Raw genomic sequence first — 12,359 nt, 5'->3', positions numbered from 1 at the left:
GGAAGCCAAATGCCATGTGGTCAGCTGCTTTATGCAGAGACCCTTAATGCAAGAAATTGAGGGAATTTTCTGTCTAATGTTTCAGAGCAACCGAATCCTGGTAACAACCTTGTGAGTGAGGTTGGAAGTTGATCCTCTACCTTCCAGCCTTCAGATGACTGCCACCCTGGTCAACACGTTAATTGCCACCTTCTGAGAATGTCTTGTATTTCAGTGATGTATCAGTTATCAAATAACTAAAGTTCAATAAGTAAGGAATATACCATTGTATATTCATTTGGACAAAATACTTAGACCCGGAGAGTCACTGAAACAAGCATCAAACATAAGTCTCTGGCACATTAAAGGCCAATCCAATGCAAGGGCTAATAGAAGTGAATTAAGACATTCTCTGTAACTCCAATATTAAATGGAAACCGGGAAATAGCCAGATTCCTCTCCAACCTGTCCTTGGCTGGCATCGGTTTCCCCTCCACCATAGTCTCCAAGATGATTGTGGACATCCAGTCTCACAGCAGAGTCATCTCCTATGCGGGCTGCCTGACTCAGGTATCTCTTTTTGCCGTTTTTGGATGCATGGAAGACATGCTTCTGAGTGTGATGGCTTATGACCGGTTTGTGGACATCTGTCACCCTCTGGATTATCCAGTCATCATGAACCCATGTTTCTGTGGCTTCCTAGTTTTGTTGTCTTTTTTTCTCAGTCTTTTAGACTCCCAGCTGCACAATTGGATTGCCTTACAAATTACCTGCTTCAAGGATGTGGAAATTCCCAATTTCTTCTGTGACCCTTCTCAACTCCCCCACCCTTGCCTGTTGTGACACCTTCACCAATGACATAGTCATGTATTTCCTTGCTGCCATATTTGGTTTTCTTCCCATTTCGGGGACCTTTTCTCTTACTATAAAATTGTTTCCTCCATTCTGAGGGTTTCATCATCAGGTGGGAAGTATAAAGCCTTCTCCACCTGTGGCTCTCACCTGTCAGTTGTTTGCTTATTTTATGGAACAGGCTTTGGAGGGGACCTCAGTTCAGACATGTCCTCTTATCCCAGAAAAGGTGCAGTGGCCTCAGTGATGTACACGGTGGTTACTCCCATGCTGAACCCCTTCATCTACAGCCTAACAGGGAAATTAAAAGTGCCCTGCGGCAGCTGCACTGCAGAATAGTCTAATCTCATTTTCTTATTATCTGTTCCATTCCTTCCGTAGTGTGAGTTAGAAAAGGCAGCAAGGGGCCGGGCGCAGTGGCTCACACCTGTAATCCCAGCACTTTGGGAGGCCGAAGTGGGCGGATCACGAGGTCAGGATGATCGAGACCATCCTGGCTAACACGGTGAAACCCTGTCTCTACTAAAAATACAAAAAAATTAGCCGGGTATGTTGGTGGGCGCCTGTAACCCCAGCTACTCGGGAGGCTGAGGCAGGAGAATGGCGTGAATCCGGGAGGCGGAGCTTGCAGTAAGCCAAAATCGCGCCACTGCACTCCAGCCTGTGCGATAGAGCAAGACTCCATCTCAAAAAAAAAAAAAAGAAAAGAAAAGAAAAGGCAGCAAGGTCAAATACGAATAATATAAAAGGATGTACACCTGTGTCCGGAATTGGTGGGTTCTTGGTCTCACTGACTTCAAGAATGAAGCCGCGGACCCTCGCGGTGAGTGTTACAGCTCTTAAGGCAGCGCGTCTGGAGTTGTTCGTTCCTCCCGGTGGGCTCTGGTCTCCCTGGCTTCAGGAGTGAAGCTGCAGACCTTCGCGGTGAGTGTTACAGCTCATAAAAGCAGTGTGTACCCAAAGAGCGAAAGAACAAAACTCCCACAGTTTGGAAGAGGACCGGAAAGGGTTGCTACTGCTGGCTCGGGCAGCCTGCTTTTATTCTCTCATCTGGCCCCACCCACATCTTGCTGATTGGTAGAGCCGAGTGGTCTGTTTTGACAGGGCACTGATTGGTGCCTTTACAATCCCTGAGCTAGACACAAAGTTTCTCCACGTCCCCACCAGATTAGCTAGATACAGAGTGTCAACACAAAGGTTCTCCAAGGCCCCACCAGAGTAGTCAGATATAGAGTGTCCGTTGGTGTATTCGAAAACCCTGAGCTAGACACAGTGTGCTGACTGGTGTATTTACGATCCCTGAGCTAGACATAGAGGTTCTCCACGTCCCCACCAGACTCAGGAGCCCAGCTGGCTTCACCCAGTGGATCCTGCACCGGGGCTGCAGGTGGAGCTGCCTGCCAGTCCTGCGCTGTGCGCCCGCACTCCTCAGCCCTTGGGTGGTCGATGGGACTGGGCGCCGTGGAGCAGGGGACAGCGCTCATTGGGGAGGCTCCGGCCGCACAGGAGCCCATGGAGTGGGTGGGAGGCTCAGGCATGGCGGGCTGCAGGTCCCGAGCCCTGCCCCGCGGGAAGGCAGCTAAGGCCCGGTGAGAAATCGAGCGCAGCGCCGGCGGGCTGGCACTGCTGGGGGACCCAGTACACCCTCCACAGCCGCTGGCCCGGGTGCTAAGCCCCTCATTGCCCAGGGCCGGCAGGCCGGCCTGCTGCTCCGAGTGCGGGGCCCGCCAAGGCCACGCCCACCCGGAACTCCAGCGGGCCCGCAAGCGCCGCGCGCAGCCCCGGTTCCCGCTCGCGCCTTTCCCTCCACACTTCCCACCAAGCTGAGGGAGCCGGCTCCCGCCTTGGCCAGCCCAGAAAGGGGCTCCCACAGTGCAGCGGTGGGCTGAAGGGCTCCTCAAGTGCCGCCAAAGTGGAAGCCCAGGCAGAGGAGTCGCTGAGAGCGAGCGAGGGCTGTGAGGACTGCCAGCACGCTGTAACCTCTCACACCCACTGTGATATTAGGGGTAATATCTCCCTAGGATATAAAAAATAATACCACAGAGTGTACGCACATGGGGTACACCCACTGCGATATTAGAAGCAATATCTCCAAAAATATTATGAAAAATATCACAGGATGTACACCCTCTGTGATATTAGAATGAATATTTACCCTGGATATTATGAGTAATATCAAGGGTGTACACACATGGGGTACACCCGCTATAATATTAGGAGTTATATCTGCCTAGGATATTACGAATGATATCAAAGGGTGTACATGCCCTGTGACTTTAAAAGTAACATCTTCCTAGAATATTATGAATAATATCACAGGGTGTATACCCACTGTGACCTTAGGAGTAACATCCTCCTAGGATATTACGAATAATGTCGCTGGGTGTACACCCTCTGTGATATTAGGAGTAATATCTCCCTAGGATATAAGGAATAATATCACAGAATGAACACATATGGTGTGTACCCACTGTGATATTAGAAGCAGTATCTCCCTACAATATTTTGAGAAATATCACAGGGTCCACACTCTCTGTGATATTAGATGTAATGTTTACTCTTGATATTATGAATAATATCACAGGGTGGACACACATGGGGTACACTCACTGTGATATCAGGAGTAATATCTTTCTAGGACATACGGAATAATATCAGAGAGTGTACACACATGGTGTATCCTCACAGTGATATTAGAAGCAATATCTCCCTAAAATATTATGAAAAATATCACAGGGTGTACACCCTCATTGATATTAGAAAAAATATGTACCCTGGATATTATGAATAATATCAAGGGTGTAGACACATGGTGTATGTACACCCGCTGTGATATTTAAAGTAATATCACCCTAGAATATTATGAATAATTTCAAAGGGTTACACTTCCTGTAACATTAAGAGTAACGTTTTTCTAGGATATTATGAGTAATATCACAAGGTGTACACCCTTTGTGACATTAAAAGTAACATCCCACTAGGATATTGGAAATAATAACACAAGGGGTATACACACATGGTGTACACCCCCTGTGGCATAAAGATTAACATCTTCCTAGGATATTACGAATAATATTACAGAAGGTGTAGACACATGGTGCACATTCCATGTGACATTAGGAACAATATCCCCCTAGGATATTAAAAATAATATCACAGTGGTTGTACACACATGATGTACTCACCCTGTGACAGTAGAAGTAACACCCCCCTAGGATATTACAAATAATATCACAGGAGGTGGATACACATGGTTTACACATTCTGTAAAATTAGGAGTAACATCCCCCTAAGATATTATGAATAATATCACAGGGTGTGTACACACATGGTGTTTACCCCCTGTGACATCAGGTGTAACATCCTTCTAGGATATTATGAATAATATCATAGGGGGTGTACACACATGGTGAACACCCCCTGTAATATTATGAGTAACATCCCTGTAGAATATTACAGAAGGTTTACAGACATGGTGTACACCCCCTGTGACATTAGGATTAACATCTTCCTAGGATATTACAAATAATATCACAGGGTGTACACACTCTGTGACATTCGGAGTAACATCCCCGTAGGATATTATGAATAATATTAAAGAGTGTACACCCACTATGACATTAGGAGTAACATACGCCTAGAATATTACAAATAATATCACAGGGCAAGCACAACCTGTGACATTAGGAGTAACATCCCCCTAGGATATTACAACTAATATCACAGGGTGTACATGCATTGTGACATTAGTAGTAACATTCCAATAGGATATTACAAATAATATCACAGGGCGTACACCCCCTGTGACATTAGGAGTAACATCCCCCTAGTATAAAAAGAATAATATCACAGAGTGTACAACCACTGTGATATTAATAGTAACACACTCCAAGGATATTATGAATAATATCGTGTGCAGCCACTGTGACATTTATATTCCTAAAATATAAGGAATATTATAATAGAGTGTACACACATTGTGTATACCCACTGTGATATTAGAAGCAATATGTTCCTAAAATATTATGAACAGTATCACAGAGTGTACACTCTCTGTTATATTACAAGTAATATTTACCCTGGAGATTATGAATAATATCACAGGGTATACACACATGGGGTACACCCACTGTGATATTAGGAATTATATCTCCCTAAGATATTACAAACAATTCAGAGGGTGTACCATGTACATACTTCTACTGTGATGTTGGAAGTAATATCTTCCTAGGAGATTACAAATAATACCAAGGAATTTACACCACCTGTGACATTAGGAGTAACATCCTTTTAAGATATTACAAATAATATCACAAGATGTACAGCCAGTGACATTTTGTACACCCTTTGTGTACATTAAAATTAATATCCCACTAGAATATTATGAGTAATATCACAGGTGGTTTACACACATGGTGTACACATTTTATGTCATTAGGGGTAACATCCCTATAGGATATTATGAATAATATCACAGAAGGTGTACGCAGATGCTGTACACTCCATGTGATATTAGAAGCAACATCCCCCTAGGATATTAGGAATAATATCACAGGACTTGTACATAAATGGGATACTTCCTTTGTGACATTAGGAGTAACATCCCCCTAGGCTATTATGAATAATATCACAGGGTGTGTACACATGGTGTGCACACCCTGTGAAATTAAAAGAAGCATCCCTCTAAGATATTATGTGTAATATCACAGGGTGTGTACACATATGGTGTACACACCCTGTGATGTTAGAAGTAACATCCTTCTAGAATAGTGATGGTGAATATCACATTTAATATTAGAAGTAACATCCCCATAGAATATTATGAATAATATCACAGGGAGTGTGCACACATGGTATACAGTCCCTGCGACATGGTGTACACATGGTGTACACTCCCTGTGATATTGTGTACACATGGTGTACACACCCTGTGACATTGTGTACACCGCCTGTGACAATGTACACACCCTGTGACAATTTACACCCCCTGTGACATTGTGTACACCCCCTGTGACATTAGGAGTACATTCCCTATGACATTAGGAGTACATTGCCTATGACATTAGGAGTACACCCCCTGTGACATTCTGTACACCCCAAGTGACATTAGAAGTAACATTAGGAGTACACATGGTGTACATCCCCTGTGACATTGCGTACACCCCCTAAGTGATATTAGGAGTAACATTTTCCTGGGATATTATGAGTAATATCACGGGGCGTACACCCACTGTGACAACAGGAGCAATGTCGCCCTAGGATATTATGAATAATATCATAGAGTGTATACCCCCTGTGACATGAGGAGTAACATTTTTCTAGGATATTACAAATAATATTACAAGGTATACACCCCCTGTGACATTAGCAGTAACATCCCCCTAGGATATTACAGATAATATCATAGGGTGAACATGCATTGTGACATTAGTAGTAACATCCCTTTAGGATATTGTGAATAATATTACAGTGTGTACACCCCTGTGACATTAGGAGCTGTTGACCAGGCTGGTCTCGAACTCCTGACCTCAAGTGGTCTGCCTGCCTCAGCCTCCCAAAGTGCTGGGATTACAGGCGTGAGCCACCATGCCCGGCCATTTTATTTTATTTTAGATTCAGAAAGTACATGTGCAGTTTTGTTGTGTTACAAGAAAAGCCTTAGACAAATTAAATTTAATAGAGGGGTTTTTTTGTTTTATTTTTTATTCTTTTTTTGAGACAGAGTCTGGTTTCGTCCCCCAGGCTGGAGTGCAGTGGTGTCTGTCATCTCGGCTCACTGCAAACTCCACCTCCTGAGTTCAAGCGATTCCCCTGCCTCAGCCTCCTGAGTAGCTGGGATTACAGGTGCCCACCACCACATCCGGCTAATTTTTTTTTTTTTGTATTTTTAGTAGAGACGGGGATTCACCATGTTGGCCAGGCTGGTCTTGAACTCCTGACCTCAAGTGATCCACCCGCCTTGGCCTCCCAAAGCGCTGGGATTACAGGCATGAGCCCCCACGCCGGGTCAAATTTAATAGAGTTTAATTGAGCAAATACCGATTCGCAAATCGGGTAACCCCCAACCAGAATAGGTTCAGAGAGGCTCCAGTACAGCCATTTAGGGGAAGAAAATTTATGGACAGAAAAAGAAAAGTGACGTACAAAAGAATGGAAGTGAAGTACACAAACAGCTGGATGGGTTACCTCTCGGCGTTCGACGAATTTGAATACGGTTTGAAAGGCTGGCCAGCTTTGATGGCTCAAAAACAGGTAATTGGCTCAGGCATAGGGTACAATCTGTTTAAACATCCAGGTAGGTTACAGTTCATATGCATGGAGAAACTTTCAGGCTGAACTTAAAATACGTAAGGAGGGCAGGGCGCGGTGGCTCACGCCTGTAATCCCAGCACTTTGGGAGGTCAAGGTGGGCGGATCGCGAGGTTAGGAGATCGAGACCATCCTGGCTAACACGGTGAAACCCCGTCTCTACTAAAAATACAAAAAATTAGCCGGGCGTGGTGGCAGGCGCCTGTAGTCCCAGCTACTCGGGAGGCTGAGGCAGGAGAATGGTGTGAACCGGAGAGGCGGAGCTTGCAGTGGGCGGAGATCGGGCCACTGTCCTCCAGCCTGGGCGACAGAGCGAGACTCCGTCTCAAAAAAAAAAAAAAAAAAAACGTAAGGAGACAACTTTAGGCTGAATTTAAGTTACATGGGTATATTGCGTGACTGCATGAAGTTTTTTTTGTTTTGTTTTGTTTTGTTTGAGACGGAGTCTAGCTCTGTCGCTCAGGCTGGAGTGCAGTGGCACGATCTCGGCTCACTGCAACCTCAGCCTCCCGGGTCTAAGTGATTCTCCTGCCTCAGCCTCCCGAGTAGCTGGGATTACAGGCAAGCACCACCACGTGTAGCTAATTTTTGTATTTTTAGTAGAGATTGGGTTTCACCATGTTGACCAGGATGGTCTCAATCTCTTGACCTCATGATCACCGCGCCCAGCCATGAAGTTCTTTATGCCAAAAAAAAAAACTCTATTTCTATACACTAAAACAGTTATAATTTAATTTTCAAAAGTTCCATTTAAAATAGCCATCAATTTTTTATTGATATGTAATAATTGCATATATTTATAGAGTACACGTGGTATTTTGATATAAGCATGCAATGTGTAATTATGGATATTTAGAATATCCATCACTCCAAACATTTATAATTTCTTTTTCTTGGAAATATTTCAAATCTCTTCTGGCTATTTTGAAATATGTAAGAAATGGGCAAGGTGGCTCACACCTGTAATCTCAGCACTTCGGGAGGCCAAGGCGGATGGGTCACTTGAGGTCAGGAGTTTGAGACCAGCCTGGCCAACAGGGTGAAACGTCCTCTCTACTAAAAATACAAAAATTAGCTGGGCGTGGAGGCTGGCGCCTGTAATCCCAGCTACTCAGGAGGCTGAGGCAGGAGAATCGGTTGAACCCAGGAGGTGGAGGTTGCAGTGAGCTGAGATCATGCCCCTGCATTCCAGCCTGGGTGACTAAGCAAAACTCAAAAAAAAAAGAAATATATAATAAATTATTTTTAACTATACTTACCCTACTGTGCTACCAAATATTAGAACTTATTCCTTCTATCTCATTGTATGTTTGTGTCCATTAACCAAACTCTCTTCATCCCCCACACCCACTCACACACCCTTCTCAGCCTCTGGTAACCACCACTCTTCTCTCTAATGCCATGGGACTCACATGCTAGCTCTTACACATGAGTGAGAATATGCAATACTTATTGTTCTGTGCCTGGCTTATTTCACTTTCCATTTACGCTGCTGCAAATGACAGGATGTGACGCATTTTATGGTTGAATTATATTCCATTGTGTGTATATATATATATCACATTTTGTTTATAAAAACTAAAACTATAGCAAATTTCAAAAATTAGTCTCTGAATGTGAAGCTACAGTGATACTGTTACCATGTTATTCTTTTCTATTTCCCTTTCTATGTATGCACAAGAGTGAAAGAGGAGAAAAAACTGTATGTGTATAAATATATGCTGAATAAATGTACAATAAAAATTATAGTGGTAAAAAAACAACATAATGTTAATTTCTTTCTTTCTTTTTCTTTTCCTTTTTTCCTTTTTTTTTTTTTTTTTTTGAGATGGAGTCTCCCTCTGTAGCCCAGGCTGTGGTGCAATGGCACTATCTCAGCCCACTGCAACCTCTGCCTCCTGGATTCAAGTGATTCTCCTGCCTCAGCCTCCCGAGGAGCTGGGATTATAGGCACGCACCACCATGCCTGGCTAATTTTTGTATTTTTAGTAAAGATGGGGTTTCACTATGTTGTCCAGGCTGGACTCCAACTCCTGACCTCAGGCGATCTGCCCACCTCAGCCTCCCAAAGTATTGGGATTACAGGTGTGAGCCACCGCGCCCGGCCATAATGTAAATTTCTACAGTGCTGAACAATAATGCGTTTTAAGAAGATATTTGAATGAATCACGTTGCCTGGTGCTACATTCTTTTGTAACTTACCCATTGTAGCTCCGTCCCTTTAGAAACATCATCACCTGAACTATTTCTGGTGCTTTTAAAATTCCTCAACCCACACAGGTCCAAGTAAATTTTGGTAATGACACCCAGGCCTCAGTATTTGTGAGGTCCCCAGGTGATTTCAATAAAACCAAATGTGAGGACCATTGATAGACATCATCATACGTAAGCTGCCTAAAGTGATTTCCTAGATGCGATTTGGACAGAAATTACACAGGAACTGTAGAAAGGGAGGTAAATACGAAGTACGATAAGTCCTCACTTAACATCCTCCACAGAAAATTAGAAACCACAATTCAAGCAAAACGATGAACCATGAAACCAATTTATTCATTTCTCACCAAAATTAAAACTAAACAACATTGAACAAAATGAACTTATTTCAGGACCTGCTGCGCTTTTTTTTTAAAGTTGCAGTTTCCAAAAACCTCTTGACAAAGTTAAGTGAGGATTTCAAGTCTATCAGAAAAGATTGTGATTGCACCTGGATATCAAGGTCATTGCACAGATACTAAAGGAGGCTGTCTAGGTATATTGGAATCATTCATGATGTGTATGATGAACAAAGGATACCAGAATACTCACCCATTGCAATTAAAGACAAAACAAAGCAAGCAATATTCACATACGAAACCCAGAGAGGAATGAAAGCCATCAAGCAACCAAAATAATGTGACCAAGGAGGCAGAATTTGCAGGCCTAGGTGTTAAATTTTGCTGCCATTTCTATCCCATATAACAAAAAGGATGGAGATGATGAGATTTGATGATTCTGCCATGCAGCCTGCACAGGGCACTTTGAATGTCCTTGTTCCTCAGGCTGTAGATGAAGGGGTTCAGCATGGGGGTGACCACAGTGTACATCACTGAAGCCACCATACTCTTCCTGGGGGATGGTAACACAGCTGAACTGAGGTACCCTACAAGCCCTGTTCCATAAAATAAGCAAACAACTGCCAGGTGAGAGCCACAGGTGGAGAAGGCTTTATACTTCCCATCTGATGTTGGAACTCTCAGAATGGGGGAAACAATTTTATAGTAAGAGAAAAGGATCCCTGAGATAGGGAGACAGCCAAATATGGCACCCATGAAATATATGACCATTTCATTGATGAAGGTGTCGGAACACCTAAGGTGGAGGAGTTGAGAAGGGTCACAGAAGAAATTAGAAATGTCCACATCCTTGAAGCAGGTGAGCTGTAACATAATCAAATTGTGCAACTGGGAGTCCAAAAGACTAATAAAAAAAGACAACAAGATTAAGAAGCCACAGAGGCGTGGGTTCATGATGATTCGGTAGTGCAGGGGGTGACAGATGGCCACAAACCGGTCATAGGCCATCACACTCAGGAGCATGTCATCCATACATGCAAAAAGGACAAAAAAAGACATCTGAGTCAGGCAGCCTTCATAGGAGATGACTCTGCTGTGAGTTTGCATGTCCACAATCATCTTGGGGACCGTGGTGGAGGTGAAACCGATGTCAGCCAAGGACAGGTTGGAGAGGAAGAAGTACATGGGGGTGTGGAGGTGGGAGTCAGAGCTGACAGCCAGGATGATGAGCAGGTTCCCCAGCACCGTGACCAGGTACATGGACAGGAACAGCCCAGCGAGGACCGGCTGCAGTTCTGGATCCTCTGAGAGTCCCAGGAGGAGGAATTCTGAGACACCTGTGAGATTCTGTGGCTCTGTGTAGCTCGGACACCTTTTGAGGAAAAAAAAAAAGAGAATTGGAAAATAGGACATAAGTAAACCAGCATCTAGCACTGTGTCTATATTTTGGATACAAGCAATTAAGAAATTAAGTTTTCACATAGGATTATACACCCTCAGCAATAGTTCTCAGTTGTGACAAACCCAATTTCCTTAGAGTTACTTCATAATTGATTTTGTGTTATTCACCTCTTTCTGTATACACTTAACTTAGAGACAGTCTATTGAAGAATGTTAGGAGAGCAAAAACATTAGAGATTTTAGAAATCCATGATCACGGTAAAATATAGCCTAATTTATCAGGAAAAAATATACAACAAAAATATTCTTGCCCCTTTAAGAAAAAGATTAAATCCATTGAAAGGATACTAAGAAGGAGTCAGCTATGTCTTGTTTTATTCTAATACAATTCTACAAATTCCATTGATTGAGGATATTTATCAACACTCAATGAGATCTAGGATCATGTTGTCTCAAAACTCAATGAAAGTTCATAGTTCATAGCCAGAAAACATCTTTACATACCAGTTATATTCTACGGTTTCCATCATTCTTACGTTTTCTGACTTTCATTCTTCATGGAAGTAAGTACTCACTCAAATATGTGGGCTTTCTTTTAAAATTCACTTAATTATAATTCCTGTCCTTGCCTTAGGTGGACTTGGAGTTTTGATAAGAAAGTAGCCCAGGGTGGTGGCTCACACCTGGAATCCTAGCACTTTGGGAGGCCAAGGCAGGAGGATTGCTTGAGGATGTGAGTTTAAGACCGGCCTGGAAAACACAGCAAAACCCCATCTTTACAAAAAACTAAAAAATTAGACAGGCATGGTGGCGCCGCCCTGTAGTCCCAGCTACTCAGGAGGCTGAGTCAGGAGAATCGCTTGAGCCCTGGAGTTCGAGGCTGCACTGAACCATGATCATACCACCGCACTCTAGGCAGAGTGGCAGAGTGAGACCTTGACTATTAAATCAATAAGTAATTAAAAGGAAGGTTTAGTTAAATGCACATAATTACCAGGACATCACTGATAGCAAAGATGTTGATAGTGTGCAACGTACCTGTGGATGACAGAACATTAATATAATGTTAAAATGCTTTTAATTTTTTTTTTTAAGACCTGAGTCTCGAAGTTTTGAGCCTGTCACCAGGCTGGAATGCAGTGGCATGATCTCAGCTCACTGCAGCCTCCGCCTCCTGGGTTCAAGCGATTCTTATGCCTCAGCTTCCCGAGTAGCTGGGACTACAGGCGCACGCCCCACCATGCACAGCTGATTTTTGTATTTTTA

General features: G+C 43.4%; 1 protein-coding gene and 1 pseudogene across 7 annotated transcripts in view; one reads left to right on the top strand and one right to left on the bottom strand.

Annotated features, from left to right (window-relative positions):
- OR7E18P (olfactory receptor family 7 subfamily E member 18 pseudogene) lies at positions 352 to 1,172 on the top strand (annotated as a pseudogene).
- OR7E24 (olfactory receptor family 7 subfamily E member 24) overlaps positions 9,524 to 12,359 on the bottom strand; it is a 46,138-nt gene continuing 43,302 nt past the window's right edge. For 4 of the 7 annotated variants that reach the window (XM_047438597.1, XM_047438594.1, XM_047438596.1 and 1 more), the window contains one exon: positions 9,672 to 11,064. In XM_047438597.1, the coding sequence (XP_047294553.1) occupies positions 10,086 to 10,952 (867 nt within the window). In that variant the 5' untranslated portion in view covers positions 10,953 to 11,064 and the 3' untranslated portion in view covers positions 9,672 to 10,085. Of the gene's footprint in view, positions 11,220 to 12,087; positions 12,128 to 12,359 lie in introns of those variants that run through there. The other 3 variants (XM_047438595.1, NM_001386108.1, NM_001079935.2) reach the window with 3 other exon arrangements.

Source organism: Homo sapiens, chromosome 19, assembly GCF_000001405.40.
Source record: "Homo sapiens chromosome 19, GRCh38.p14 Primary Assembly".
NCBI lineage: Eukaryota > Metazoa > Chordata > Mammalia > Primates > Hominidae > Homo > Homo sapiens.
This window is presented reverse-complemented; position numbering and strand designations above follow the sequence as displayed.